General features: G+C 40.3%; 1 long non-coding RNA gene across 5 annotated transcripts in view; it reads left to right on the top strand.

Annotated features, from left to right (window-relative positions):
• The window catches only part of CCDST (cervical cancer associated DHX9 suppressive transcript), a 177390-nt gene that overhangs the window by 58880 nt on the left and 102211 nt on the right, over positions 1-16299 (top strand). For 3 of the 5 annotated variants that reach the window (NR_186761.1, NR_186764.1, NR_186765.1), the window contains exons 2-3: positions 713-830; positions 3471-3576. The exons of the other annotated variants lie outside the window; for them this stretch is intronic. This is a non-coding gene — a long non-coding RNA (cervical cancer associated DHX9 suppressive transcript). The remainder of the gene's footprint in view (positions 1-712; positions 831-3470; positions 3577-16299) is intronic. 5 annotated transcript variants of the gene reach the window in all.

Genomic DNA, 16299 nt, shown 5'->3' on the forward strand with positions numbered 1-16299 from the left:
TCTCTGGCATACTTTTTAAGGGGTTAGGAGGTAGTCTTTGCTCTCTCCCTTTCTTCAAAATTTTTGATCTACATACCCTGGAATCAAACTCTTTTCCCCACTTTTTACTGTTTCTTTGTTAGAACCCATTAGTACTCATGCAAAGTGTACTCCTGTCAGTTAAAATAACTATCACTGAATTATGCATCATTCATTTGTAGTGTGGGTATATTTCAACTAATATTTGTATTCTTCTTATGCAATTTTTATTTTAAAAAAAACCTTTTAAGGTAAGTATATATGATTGGGTTGACTTAAATAACACAATGGTTTTATGCTTCTTGAGTAGAACAGGTCACAAACTAGCCTGCAACTATGTCAGCTTCAAAGGTTTTGGAGTCTGGCTCACTTGAGTTTGCCTCCTGGCGCTTCCATTTACTGTTGTATGACCTTGGGTAAATTACTTAGCCTTTCTGAGTCTGTTTCCTCATCATCAAAGTAAGGATGATAATGCCCATTTTAAAGGGCTGTTGAAGTATTAAGTAAGCTAATTATGTCAATTATACAGCACATTGTGTAACATTTTAGTTACATTAAAACTCAGCTATTATATAATTATCGCAGTTTAGTTGTTATTCTAATATTGGCTATATTAATTGTGTGAACTTTTGTACTTGTATGTATTTCCAGTAAGAGAGGATCTGGGAATGTAAATGTCTTTTTCTTTTTCCAGGATTTTTCCTCTTAGGATTTATTTCCCTGGAGACCTCATGAAGAATGATGTGGGTTCTATAGGGTACAGTGTGATCTGGGTCCTGCCTAATCTCCTTTCTAAACTTCAGAAAATCATGGTAGGTTTTCATGTCTTATAGATAAAGCAGAACTTCAGAGAAATTGTGACGTAAGAGTAGAGTTCCTTCAAATATTGTCTTTTGCCTTTTGATTTCCTCTGTATTTTTACACCTGATGAATGAGAACCTTATTGGAAAAATGTAGCAAAAGTGCCAGGAACATGGTAAGAAGAAAGTAGTTAGGAGAATGGGATAGGGATGGGGGCAAATAGTGCTACTAAATGGTTAAAAAAATGCATTTATCCCTTTCTCTTTTTGTACCCAGCTGACTTCAGGTGTACTATGTTCTGTGCTCTCTCTCCCTCAAATGAAATATAGTCTTCTATCTAATGTCACATTGTAAATATTAATATTTAATGTGACTTTGTTTGGGAGGCTTAGTTAGGGACTTAGCCAGGATTTTGGCTAGCTTGAGCCTAGGGCTTGGAGCCTCCTCTGTAGCTTGAACACTAATGTTCCTTTTTTTTCTGGCTACACTCTCTGGCAATACTCTCTGGTTCCTTTCTTTCTGGCTACACTCTCTTCCTTTTCTATCAAGACTTTCAGATGTCAAGGTTCCCAAGCTCAATTCCTAGATGCCTTTTCTTCTCTTAAGCTTTCTCACCACGCTGGACTGTTCTCTTTCACTCCTAAAATTATTTCATGATCTTGCTGGGTTAGTCTTTACTTTGTGCTCTAAACTTTCTGGCATCTTGAGGTCTTCGGCATTCAGGCACTGAAGCCTAATTTTGACATGTGGAAGTGAAAGCAGAATTAGAAAGTAATTATCAAAGAGTCCTCAAATGGTTAGAGGATGTATAGGAGAGTGAAGCATGGGGAAAAATACAAGTCAGCCTTTGGAGGGGATGGACAGTAGGACAGGGAGAGTAGGGAAGAAGCATAAGGTATTCTACTTCTGACTGGCTGTCTGCATCCTAATCTGTTTTTTTCTGAGTTTTTCATTGAAGTAATATATATATAATACTTGACATATGTATGTATATATGTATATATACAGAAAAGTGTACAAATCAGAAGTGTACAGATTGGTTAATTGTCTCAAACTGAACCATCCATGTAACCAACTCCCAGATTAAAAAAACGTAATGTTACTAGCACCCCCAGAAGCCCCCACCTCTTTTTCCATCCAGGCACTCCCCACTCTCTCAAAGAGTAATAATTATCTTGACTTCTAACATCATAAATTAGTTTTACCTATTTTTGGATTTTATATAAAAGGAATCATACAGTGCTTTTATATCTGGCTTCTTTCACCTAACACCCATGTTTATGCATGTAGCCACTTTTCATTCATTCTCATTGTTCTATTGTATTACATTATATGAGTGTGGTACAAATGATATGTTCTTTCTCCTAGTGATGGCTATTTGAGTAATTTCCAGTTTTTGACTTGTAAAAATAGTGCTGCTATGTACATTGTTTTATGTGTCTTTTGGTTAACATGTGTATGCATGTCTGTTCCCTTCTCTTTCTAGTGTGCTGACAGCTTTTAATCACAGTTCAGTAATGAATTTAGTTATAACAATGAATATTTATTTGGTTATCAGCAAGTGGCTTATTGAGTATATTTCCAAGTGAATACATGGAAAGTGTGAGGCTAAGGCAGAGAAGCAGTAAGTCATAATATTAACCATTGGTTATTTATCAGTGTTGTTAATATTAACCATTGACTGTTTATTAATGTTGTTAATATTCTTGCAAATCCAGTCATTTGAACTCCTGACAACAGAGATCATGTCAAAAAGTTCAAGTTTCTGAGTCCTGGAGGCCAGAGAATGGAGATAGTCTATATTCCTAACCAGAAATCTCTTCATCATCCGTGTATCACCTAAGGATGCAATATTTTTTAGTGGACAGGAATAGAAGCTTTGGCATTTTACTGCCTGGGAATAAAATCTGGTACTATTGGGAAAGATTACTTTATTATGCTTTAATTTTCTCATCTCTAAAATATACATAGTAACAGTATCTACCTCAACATTATTAGAAGATTAAATTAGTTAATCCATGTAAAATCCTCAGTAGAATACTTGGCATATAGTAAATAATCAACATTATATAAAACTCTATAGTGGAATGTGCTACAAGGTGTACAGCAGCAGTTTTAGGTTCCAGAATTATAAATCTAGGCCTGTAGTTTTTAATTCTTTGGAGAATTGTGGCCAGCTTTTATAAAATTAGGACACCTGAAAAAGCAAGAAATTTTAGCTCAGAAATTAAAAAAAAAACCTTTAGCTGAATCTCAAATGAAATAAGTGTATGTGCTCCTTCCAGCTTGGGAAATGGTGGGCTTGGTCAGTATTAGTTTAATCGTATTTTTTCTCTCATTTTCTTCTATATTCATCCAAGAAGCTTGGGTACTTATAAAATGCCTAATGCCAAAGAATAAAGTTTAATTTTGGAATGAGCTAAAATTCTTTTTGGAAATAGCTGCAGTTTACATAAATAAAATAAGTACTTGAATTCAGTGCAGTGCCCTGGGAGATGGCAAGCTCTTAAGCACTTTACGCTCTGTGGGATCCTGAGGTAAATCTAGGAGCTTTATTCTCAAGGATATTACTGACTCATCCCCAGTTGACTTTGTTCCAAATTGGGTATTGAGTCTCAGTATCTTATAGTTTACTGTTTTTTTCTTTGTAGTACCTTGGAGTTGTGGAGGCATGTTTATAAGCAGATCTGAGTTTTGCCACACTGGAATTTATTTATTCATTGAACAAATATTTAATACCTACTACAATTCTTAGCCGTAAGTATTTGAAATTTATGATATGAGTTTGACCCGATTCCTGGTTTGGTTGCCACTGGTGAAATTCTGATTTGTTTGTACTCTGTTTTGTCTACTTTGTTAGATATGTAGATTGGGACATTTTGTAATGTGTCTTGGTTCTGCTATTTTTATCTTGAAGAGTATCCTTATACTTCATTCTTAACTTTTTCCCTCAAAGTCTCCCAGCCAGGTCATCTGCATAATATCTTCTTTTTTCTTTCCTTCAGTAAAAAACTGAGCTATATTTTCACCAGAAGAGGTGAAGTGAGAAGAGGGGTTGAAACTTCTGCTTTAGCCTCCTGAACATTCTTGGCTGTTCTAGGATGGTCAGGAGACCCAGCAGTGCTATCTATAGACTTCCCAATCCATGGTGTTTCTTCCTTCTCTCCAAGGGAAGTTTTTTGGTTGCTGTATAACAATCCCAAAACTTAGTGGTTAGAAATTCCAGTCGTTCTACTATATTTCAGGATTCTATGGGTTAAGAATCTGGGGACAGCTCAGCTGGGTAAAACTTCTGGGTAAAACTTGGCTGGAGTCTGTAGCATTCAGCCATGGGCTAGGCTGGACTTGACTCACATACTCAGAGCTCTGGCACGATGACTAGAAGGTTGGGCTTGACTGAGTATCTCTCTTTATCTGTATATTCAGGAATTCTCCACATGATCTCTGCAGCAGGGTAGTCAGAATTTTTACGTGGCAGCTTAGGGAACCGAGAAGGCTTAAAAATAAAGACCAACCAAATGAAAATAAGCAAATGGTATTTATTCAGAGTTTGCTATAGCAAAAGAGTCAGCTACTGTGACTTTAAAAGCCCATTCCTCCATTCTGTCAATCCAGCTGTTTCAGGATGAAGGCGAACATGGTAAGACCAGTGAATTCCATGAGCATGAGCCCACTGCCACACTTCTTTAGCCATAAAGTGAGTGCCTTGGTCAGAGGCAATGCTATATGTGACACTATGAGGATGGATAAGGCATTCTGTGAGTCCACGGATGGTAGTCTTGGTGGAGGCATTGCGTGCAGGACAGGCAAACCCACATCCAGAGTGTCTGTTCTGGTGAGGAAAAACTGCTGCCCTTTCCATGATGACAGAGGTCCAATATAATCAACCTGCCACCAAGTAGCTGGCTGATAACCCCAAGGAATGGTGCCATATCGAGGGCACAGTGTTGGCAAATTGCTGCTGGCAAATTGGGCACTCAGCAGTGGCCATAGCTAGGTCAGCCTTGATGAGTGGAAGTTCATGTTGCTGAGCTCATATGTAACCTCCATCCTTGCCACCATGGACACTTTGTTCATGGGCCCACTGGGCGATGACGGGGTGTCTGGGTAAAGAGTCTGAGTGGTGTCCATAGAACGAATCATCCTATCCACTTGATTATTAAAATTCTCCTCCGCTGAGGTCGTCCTTTGGTGAGCACTCATATTAGATACAAATATCTTCGCAGTTTTGACCACTCAGAGAGGTCCATCCACATACCTCTTCCCCAGATTTCTTTGTCACCAATTTTCCAATCATGCTTCTTCCAAGTCCCTGACCATCCAGCCAAACCATTGGCTATAGTCCATGAATCAGTATATATTCATACATCTGGCCATTTATCTTTCCAGGCAAAGTATACAACCAGGTGCACTGTTTGAAATTCTGCCCACTGGGAAGATTTTCCTCACCGCTGTCCTTCAGGATGCCCTAGAAAGGGCCTGCAGTGCTACAGCTGTGTCCACTTTCAGGTAGTGCCTGCATATTGTGCAGAGCCGTCTATAAACCAGGCCCTAGTCTTCGCTTTCTCTGTCAACTCATCATAGGGAGCTCCCCATGAGGCCATCAGTGCAGGCTGGGGGAGAGAAGGCAGGGTGGCAGGATTGGGGATGAGGAAACTTAAAATCATGGCAGAAGGGGAAGCAAACGCATCCTTCTTCACATGGCAGCAGCAAGGAAAAGAATGTTTGCTTCCCCTTCCACTGTGATTGTGAGTTTCCTGGGATCTCCCCAGCCATGCTGAACTGTGAGTCAATTAAACCGCTTTCCTTTATAAATTATCCAGTCATGGGTATGTCTTTATTAGCAGCATAAGAATGGACTAATAAAACAGTAAATACTGCTCTGCTGTTTGCCTGGGTCGTGCAATGGTCTCCTACCTAGTCTTCTTGCCTCTGGTCTCATCTCCTTCCTGTCTTGCTGCCAAAATATTTATCATGTGACTTCTTATTAAAACCCTTTATTTCCTACTCTCAGATGATAGAGACCTAGCATCTTAGCATGGCTTATAAGCCTCCTTTTGATCTGGTTCTCATGTTTCTGGAATCATTTTTTGCCATGCCCCTCACACTCACCTCATATCTTGGCTATACCGAACTGCTGCTATCAGTTTCTTGAGCCCACCTTTGTTTTTCTTTGGGATTTTGCACAAGTTGTTTAATCCCCCGGAATACTTTCCTTCCCAAATCAAGCTGGCACATTTCCAGCCATTTCTAGAGTTTCCATGCCCATGTCTGTTAAACTCAGAAGTATTATTTGAGCCATCTCTTCCTTACCACTAAACATGGTTAGCTGGTACCACTATAATTTATACTACCACTGCATCTTAATAATATCTTTTTAAAATTATTTGTCACACTTTCCTCCCTGGTCAGTAAACTTCTGAAGGACAGATCTGTCTTTCCCATCTTTGTAAATTCATCTAGTGTAGAGCCTGACAATTAAATGTTCAATACTTTCCTTCTAATGAGAGAATGAAGTAATATTGCATCAAGAGCCAGATATCCACATTATTTAGATTCTTATTAGTCTAAGCCTTATTTTCAGCCTTCTATTTGAAGATATGTGGAAGTGTGTTTGGCACATAGCTAGAGCCCAGTCTCAGTCTTGTCCAGTCTTTCCTCACGTGATAGTGGATCAAGTCTTTGAAGGGAAAGAGCAATAAAAACTGATGGCAGTGTGGCCCAACTAAGAGCTAGGGACTATGTTGCTCATTTTCATATGAAACTATTTAGATTATTTGTTAAATTGTAAACCACAATCTTATTGCCAATAGCTGAGTCACTTTTGTAAGAGCATAGGTGACGATTGTAAAGTTTTTTGTTTTAATACAATTTTATTTACAAAAGCAGATAACAAGCTGGATGGGCCTTTGGGCCATAGTTTGTCAACTCCTGTTCTAATCCATAAGCATGGTATATCTCTCCATTTATTTAGGACTTCTTAATTTCTTTTAGCAATATTTTGTACTTTTTGGTGTTGTGGTCTTATACTTTTTTGGTTAAATTTATTCCTAGGAATTTTATGTTTTTTAAATTGACACATAATATTTACATATTTATAGGGTATGTGTGATATTTTGTTACATGCATAAAATGCATAAAATGTGTAATTTTCAAGTCAGGGTATTTGGGGTAGCTATTACCTTGAGTATTTATCATTTCTATGTTTTGGGGACATTTTGAGTTCTGTCTCCTAGCTACTTTAAAATATATAATTCATTATTGCTAACTATAGTCGCCCTACTCTGCTATCAAACATTAGAACTTATACATATATCTGTATATTTATACCCATTGACCAACCTCACTTCATTCCCCCTTTCATCCACGCTTTTTTCTCAGACTCTAGTATCTATCATTCTACTCTCTATCTTCATGAGGTCACTGTTTTTACCTCCTACATATGAGTAGAACTCATATTTGTCTTTCTGTGTCTGGCTTATTTAATGTAACATAATGAAGTTTATTTCTACCCATCTTGCTGCAAATGACATTATTTCATTCATTTTTTTTTTAAGATGCTCTCTTTTTTATTTATTTATTTATTTATTTATTTATTTATTTATTGATCATTCTTGGGTGTTTCTCGCAGAGGGGGATTTGGCAGGGTCATAGGACAATAGTGGAGGGAAGGTCAGCAGATAAACAAGTGAACAAAGGTCTCTGGTTTTCCTAGGCAGAGGACCCTGGGGCCCTCCGCAGTGTTTGTGTCCCTGGGTACTTGAGATTAGGGAGTGGTGATGACTCTTAACAAGCATGCTGCCTTCAAGCATCTGTTTAACAAAGTACATCTTGCACCGCCATAAATCCATTTAACCCTGAGTGGACACAGCACATGTTTCAGAGAGCACAGGGTTGGGGGTAAGGTCACAGATCAACAGGATCCCAAGGCAGAAGAATTTTTCTTAGTACAGAACCAAATGAAAAGTCTCCCATGTCTACTTCTTTCTACACAGACACGGCAACCATCCGATTTCTCAATCTTTTCCCCACCTTTCCCCCTTTTCCACTCCACAAAACAGCCATTGTCATCATGGCCCGTTCTCAATGAGCTGTTGGGTACACCTCCCAGACAGGGTGGTGGCCGGGCAGAGGGGCTCCTCACTTCCCAGTAGGGGCGGCCGGGCAGAGGCGCCCCTCACCTCCCAGACGGGGCGGCTGGCCCGGGGGGATGCTGACCCCCCCACCTCCCTCCCGGACGGGGCAGCTGGCCTGGCGGGGGCTGACCCCCACCTCCCTCCCGGACGGGGTGGCTGCCGGGCAGAGACGCTCCTCACTTCCCAGATGGGGTGGCTGCCGGGTGGAGGGGCTCCTCACTTCTCAGATGGGGCAGCTGCCGGGCGGAGGGGCTCCTCACTTCTCAGACGGGGCGGTTGCCAGGCAGAGGGTCTCCTCACTTCTCAGACGGGGCGGCTGGGCAGTGACGCTCCTCACCTCCCAGGTGGGGTCGCAGCCGGGCAGAGGCGCTCCTCACATCCCAGGGCAGAGGCGCTCCTCACATCCCAGACGGGGCGGCCGGGCAGAGACGCTCCTCACTTCCTAGATGGGATGGCGGCCGAGAAGAGGTGCTCCTCACTTCCTAGATGGGGTGGCGGCCGGACAGAGATGCTCCTCACTTTCCAGACTGGGCAGCCAGGCAGAGGGGCTCCTCACGTCCCAGACGATGGGCAGCCAGGGAGAGACACTCCTCACTTCCCAGACGGGGTGGTGGCCGAGCAGAGGCTACAATCTTGGCCTTTTGGGAGGCCAAGGCAGGCGGCTGGGAGGTGGAGGTTGTAGCGAGCCGAGATCACGCCACTGCACTCCAGCCTGGGCAACATTGAGCACTGAGTGAACCAGACTCCGTCTGCAATCCCGGCACCTCGGGAGGCCGAGGCTGGCAGATCACTCGCCGTTAGGAGCTGGAGACCAGCCCGGCCAACACAGCGAAACCCCGTCTCCACCAAAAAAATACGAAAACCAGTCAGGCGTGGCGGCATGTGCCTGCAATCGCAGGCACTCGGCAGGCTGAGGCAGGAGAATCAGGCAGGGAGGTTGCAGTGAGCCGAGATGGCAGCAGTACAGTCCAGCTTCCGCTCAGCATCAGAGGGAGACCGTGGAGAGAGAGGGAGAGGGAGACCGTGGGGAGAGGGAGAGGGAGAGCGCTATTTCATTCATTTTTATGGCTGAATAGTATTTCCTTGTATATTTATAAGTCAGATTTCTCCAGAGGAACAGAACCAATGGTATACAAACATGTATACATATGTATATGTATGTGTAGATGTATATTAGTATACATAAATATGTAAATACCTATATGTATATGTATGTATATATGTATATGTAGGTGTATATTATGTGTATATATGTATACATCTATACATATATGTATAATGTACACATATATACATATGTATATATGTATGTATGCTATTGGCTTATTACAAAGCTATAGTAATCAAAACAGTATGGCATTGGTATAAAAACAGACACATAGACCAGTGGAACAAAGTAGAGAATCTGAATATATATATATGCATGTATGTAATATATGTGTACATATATACATATATATTACTACATATATGTGTGTGTGTGTGTGTGTGTGTATATATATATATAGATGTTTATTAGAAAGAATTAGCTTATATAATTACAAAAGCAAAGTCCCATGATAGGCCATTGGCAAGCTGGGGTTGAGAAAAGCTGCCAGCGTGGCACAGTTGAACTCCCAAAAGCCTCAAAACCAGGGAAGCTGACAGTGCAGCTCCCAGTCTGAGGCTACAGGCCTGAGAGCCCCCAGACAACTGCTAGCGCAAGTTCCAGTGTCCAAAGACTGAAGAAACTGGAGTCTGATGTCCAAGGGCAGGAGGCAAAAAGGTGACTTGCTCTGCAAGAGAGAGAGAAAGATAAAGCCAAGCAAGCTGAATATCCTCCTCTTCTGCCTGCTTTGTTCTAGCCCCAACAGCAGCCAATTGGATGGTGTCTGCTCACATTAAAGGCAAGTCTTCCCTCCCAATCTACTGTCATTCTCCTGTGGAAACACCATAACACACATACCCAGAAAAAATGCTTCACCTGCCATCTAGGCATCCTTCAATTCAGTCAAGCTGACACATAATATTAACTGTCACAGTATGTATGTATATATATACCACATTTTCTTTATCCATTTGTCCATTGATGGACACTTAGGTTGGTTTCATATCTTTGCTATTACGAATAGTGCTACTATAAACATGTGAGTGCAGGCATCTCTTTGATATACTGATTTCTTTTCCCTTGGATAAATACCCAGCAGTGGAATTCCTGGATCATATGGTAGTTCTACTTTTAGTTTTTTGAGAAATGTCCATACTGTTTTCCATAGTGGCTATACTAATTTACATTTCTACCAACAGTGTGTAAGAGTTGCTTGTTTTCATCCTTGCTAGCATCTGTTATTTTTTGTCCTTTTCATAATGGTCATTCTAACTGGGGTAAAGTGATATCTCATTGTTGTTTTGAGTTGCATTTCCCTGATGGTTAGTGATGTTGAGCATTTTCTCGTATCCTTGTTGGCCATTTGTATGTCTTCTTTTGAGAAATACCTATTCATGTCTTTTGCTTACTTATTAATGAGATTATTTTTTATGTTGTTTTGTTTGAGTTTTTTGTAATTTTAGATATTAGTTCATTATCAGATGAATAGTTTGCAAATATTCTCTTTCATTCAACAGGTTGTCTCTTCACTCTGTTGTTTCCCTTGTTGTGCAGAAGGTTTTCAGTTTAACATAGTCCAATTTGTCTATTTTTGTTTTTACTGCCTGTGTTTTTGAGGTCTTAGCCATAAAATCTTTGCCTAGATCAATGTCCTGAAAGGTTTTTCCATGTGTTTTCTTCTAGCAGTTTCATAGTTTTGGGTCTTAAATTTAAGTCTCTCTCTCTCTATATATATATTACATACTTTTAAGTTCTAGGGTACATGTGCACAACGTGCAAGTTTGTTACATAGGTATACATGTGCCATGTTGGTTTGCTGCATCCATCAACTCGTCATATACATCAGGTATTTCTCCTAATGCTATCCCTCCCCTAGCCCCCAAACCCCCGACAGGCCCTGGTGTGTGTTGTTCACTGCCCTGTGTCCAAGTTTTCTCATTGTTCAGTTCCCACCTATGAGTGAGAACATGTGGTGTTTGGTTTTTCGTCCTTGTGATAGTTTGCTGAGAATGATGGTTTCCAGCTTCATCCATGTCCCTGTAAAAGACATGAACTCATCCTTTTTTATGGCTGCATAGTATTCCATGGTGTATATGGGCCACGTTTTCTTAATCCAGTCTCTCATTGATGGACATTTGGGTTGGTTCCAAGTTTTTGCTATTGTGAATAGTGCTGCGATAAACGTACGTGTTCATGTGTCTTTATAGTAGCATGATTTATAATCCTTTGGGTATACACCCAGTAATGGGATGGCTGGGTCAAATGGTATTTCTAGTTCTAGATCCTTGAGGAATCGCCACACTGTCCTCCACAATGGTTTAATTTGCACTCCCACCAACAGTGTAAAGCATTCCAATTTCTCCACATCCTCTCCAGCATCTGTTGTTTCTTGACTTTTTAATGATCGCCATTCTAAATGGTGTGAGATGGTATCTCATTGTGGTCTTGATTTGCATTTCTCTGATGACTAATGATAATGAACACTTTTTCATGTGTCTGTTGGCTGCATGAATTTTTTTTTTTTTTGAGATGGAGTCTCACTCTGTTGCCCAGGCTGGAGTGCAGTGGTGTGATCTCGGCTCACTGCAAGCTCTGCCTTCTGGGTTCACGCCATTCTCCTGCCTCAGCCTCCTGAGTAGTTGGGACTACAGGCACTCGCCAGCACATCTGGCTATTTTTTTTGTGTTTTTAGTAGAGACAGGGTTTTACCATGTTAGCCAGGATGGTCTCAGTCTCCTGACCTTGTGATCCACCGGCGTTTGCTACCCAAAGTGCTGGAATTACAGGCATGAGCCATCACGCCCAGCCCTAAATGTCTTCTTTTGAGAAGTGTCTGTTCATATCCTTTGCCCACTTGTTGATGGGGTTGTTTGTTTTTTTCTTATAAATTTGTTTAAGTTCTTTGTAGATTCTGGATATTAGCCCTTTGTCAGATGGGTAGATTGCAAAAATTTTCTCCCATTCTGTAGGTTGCCTGTTCGCTCTGATGGTAGTTCCTTTTGCCGTGTAAAAGCTCTTTAGTTTAATTAGATCCCATTTGTCTATTTGGGCTTTCGTTGCCATTGCTTTTGGTGTTTTAGTCTTGAAGCCCTTGCCCATGCCTATGTCCTGAGTGGTATTGCCTAGGTTTTCTTCTAGGGTTTTTATGGTTTTAGGTCTAACATTTAAGTCTTTAATCCATCTTGAATTAATTTTTGTATAAAGCGTAGTGAAGGGATCCAGTTTCAGCTTTCTACATATGGCTAGCCAGTTTTCCCAGCACCATTAATTAAGTAGGGAATCCTTTCCCCATTTCTTGTTTTTCTCAGGTTTGTCAAAGATCAGATGGCTGTAGAAGTGTGGTCTTATTTCTGAGGACTCTGTTCTGTTTTATTGGTCTACATCTCTGTTTTGGTACCAGTACCATGCTGTTTTGGTTGCTGTAGCCTTGTAGTATAGTTGGAAGTCATGTAGCGTGATGCCTCCAGCTTTGTTCTTTTTGCTTAGTATTGTCTTGGCAATGTGGGCTCTTTTTTGGTTCCATATGAACTTTAAAGTAGTTTTTTTCAATTCCGTGAAGAAAGTCATTGGTAGCTTGATGGGGATGACATTGAATCTATAAATTACCTTGGGCAGTGTGGCCATTTTCACGAAATGGATTCTTCCTATCCATGAGCATGGAATGTTCTTCCATTTGTTTGTGTCCTCTTTTATTTTGTTGAGCAGTGGTTTATCATTCTCCTTGAAGAGGTCCTTCACATACCTTGTAAGTTGGATTCCTAGTTATTTTATTCTCTTTGTAGCAATTGTGAATGGAAGTTCACTCATGATTTGGCTCTCTGTTTGTGTGTTACTGGTGTATAGGAATCCTTGTGATTTTTGCATATTGATTTTGTATCCTGAGATTTTGCTGAAGTTGCTTATCAGCTTAAGGAGATTTTGGGCTGAGACAATGGGGTTTTCTAAATATACAATCATGTCATCTGCAAACAGGGACAATTTGACTTCTCTTTTCCTAATTTAATACACTTTATTTCTGTCTCTTGCCTGATTTCCCTTACCAGAACTTCCAACACTATGTTGAATAGGAGTGGTGAGAGAGGGCATCCCTGTCTTATGCCAGTTTTCAAAGGGAATGCTTCCAGTTTTTGCCCATTCAGTATGATATTGGCTGTGGGTTTGTCATAAATAGCTCTTATTATTTTGAGATACATCCCATCAATACCTAGTTTATTGAGAGTTATTAGCATGAAGAGTTGTCAAATTTTGTCAAAGGCCTTTTCTGCATCTTTTGAGATAATCATGTGGTTTTTGTCATTGGTTCTGTTTATGTGATGGATTGCCTTTATTGATTTTCGTATGTTGAACCAGCCTTGCATCCCAGGGATGAAGCCAACTTGATTGTGGTGGATAAGCTTTTTGATTATCTCCTGGATTTAGTTTGCCAGTATTTTATTGAGGATTTTTGCAGGGATGTTCATCAGGGATATTGGTCTAAAATTCTCTTTTTTGTTGTGTCTCTGCCAGACTTTGGTATCAGAATGATGCTGGCCTCATAAAATGAGTTAGGGAGGATTCCCTCTTTTTCTATTTACTGGAATAGTTTCAGAAGGAATGGTGCCAGCTCCTCTTTGTACCTCTGGTAAAATTTGGCTGTGAGTCCATCTGGTCCTGGACTTTTTTTGGTTGGTAGGCTATTAATTATTGCCTCAATTTCAGAGCCTGTTATTGGTCTATTCGGAGATTCAACTTCTTCCTGGTTTAGTCTTGGGAGGGTGTATGTGTCGAGGAATTTATCTATTTCTTCTAGATTTTCTAGTTTATTTGCGTAGAGGTGTTTTTAGTAGTCTCTGATGGTAGTTTGTATTTCTGTGGGATTGGTGGTAATATCGCCTTTATCATTTTTTATTGCGTCTATTTGATTCTTCTCTCTTTTCTTCTTTATTAGTCTTGCTAGCAGTCTATCAATTTTGTTGATCCTTTCAAAAAACCAGCTCCTGGATTCAGTAATTTTTTTGAAGGGTTTTTTATGTCTCTATTTCCTTCAGTTCTGCTCTGATTTTAGTGATTTCTTGCCTTCTGCTAGCTTTTGAATGTGTTTGCTCTTGCTTTTCTAGTTCTTTTAATTGTGATGCTAGGGTGTGAATTTTAGATCTTTCCTGCTTTCTCTTGTGGACATTTAGTGCTATAAATTTCCCTCTACACACTGCTTTGAATGTGTCCCAGAGATTCTGGTATGTTGTGTCTTTGCTCTCATTGGTTTCAAAGAACATCTTTATTTCTGCCTTCATTTCGTTATGTACCCAGTAGACATTCAGGAGCAGGTAGTTCAGTTTCCATGTAGTTGATCGGTTTTGAGTAAGTTTCTTAATCCTGAGTTCTAGTTTGATTGCACTGCGATCTGAGAGATAGTTTGTTATAATTTCTGTTCTTTTGGACTTGCTGAGGAGTGCTTTACTTCCAACTATGTGGTCAATTTTGGAATAGGTGTGGTGTGGTTCTGAAAAAAAGGTATATTCTGTTGATTTGGGGTGGAGAGTTCTATAGATGTCTATTAGGTCCGCTTGGTGCAGAGCTGAGTTCAATTCCTGGGTATCCTTGTTAAGAAGGATATCCAAGTTGGAAAACACTCTGCAGGATATTATCCCAGAGAACTTCCCCAATCTAGCAAGGCAGGCCAACATTCAAATTCAGGAAATATAGAGAATGCCACAAAGATACTCCTCGAGAAGAGCAACTCCAAGACACATAATTGTCAGATTCACCAAAGTTGAAATGAAGGAAAAATATTAAGGGCAGCCAGAAAGAAAGGTAGACATACCCACAAAGGGAAGCCCATCAGACTAATAGCTGATCTTTTGGCAGAAACTCTACAAGCTAGAAGAGAGTGGGGGCCAATATTCAACATTCTTAAAGGAAAGAATTTTCAACCCAGAATTTCATATCCAGCCAAACTAAGCTTCATAAATGAAGGAGAAATAAAATACCTTACAGACAAGCAAATGCTGAGAGATTTTGTCACCACCAGGCCTGCCTTACAAGAGCTCCAGAAGGAAGCAATAAACATGGAAAGGAACAATGAGTACCAGCCACTGCAAAAACATGCCATATTGTAAGGACCATCGAGGCTTGGAAGAAACTGTGTCAACTAATGAGCAAAATAACCAGCTAATATCATAATGACAGGATCAAATTCACACATAACAATATTAAGTGTAAATGGGCTAAATGCTCCAATTAAAAGACACAGACTGGCAAATTGGATAAAGAGTCAAGACCCATCAGTGTGCTGCATTTAGGAAACCCATCTCACGTGCAGAGACACACATAGTCTCAAAATAAAGGGATGGAGGAAGATCTACCAAGCAAATGGAAAACAAAAAAAGCAGGGGTTGCAATCGTAGTCACTGATAAAACAGACTTTAAACCAACAAAGATCAAAAGAGAGAAAGAAAGCCATTACATAATGGTAAAGGGATCAATTCAACAAGAAGCGCTAACTATCCTAAATATATATGCATGCAATACAGGAGCACCCAGATTCATAAAGCAAGTCCTTAGTGACCTACAAAGAGACTTAGACTCCCACACAATAATATGGGAGACTTTAACACCCCACTGTCAACATTAGACAGATCAACGAGACAGAAAGTTAACAAGGATATCCAGGAATTGACCTCAGCTCTGCACCAAGTGGACCTAACAGACATCTACAGAACTTTCCATATCAAGTCAACAGAATATACATTCCTGTCAGCACCACACTGCACTTATTCCAAAATTGACCACATAGTTGGAAGTAAAGCACTCTTCAGCAAATGTAAAAGAACAGAAATTGTAACAAACTGTCTGTCAGACCACAGTGCAATCAAACTAGAACTCAGGATTCAGAAACTCAATCAAAACCGCTCAACTGCGTGGAAACTGAACAACCTGCTCCTGAATGACTACTGGGTACATAACGAAATGAAGGCAGACATAAAGATGTTCTTTGAAACCAACGAGAACAAAGACACAACATACCAGAATCTCTGGGATACACGTAAAGCAGTGCGTAGACGGAAATTTATAGCACTAAATGCCCACAAGAGAAAGCAGGAAAGATCTAAAATTGACACCCTAACATCACAGTTGAAAGAACTAGAGAAGCAAGAGCAAACACATTCAAAAGCTAGCAGAAGGCAAGAAATAGCTAAGATCAGAACAGAACTGAAGGAGATAGAGACACAAAAAACCCTTCAAAAAGTGAATAAACCAGGAACTGGTTTTTTGAAAAGA

Source organism: Homo sapiens, chromosome 1 (genome assembly GCF_000001405.40).
Source record: "Homo sapiens chromosome 1, GRCh38.p14 Primary Assembly".
Classification (NCBI taxonomy): domain Eukaryota; kingdom Metazoa; phylum Chordata; class Mammalia; order Primates; family Hominidae; genus Homo; species Homo sapiens.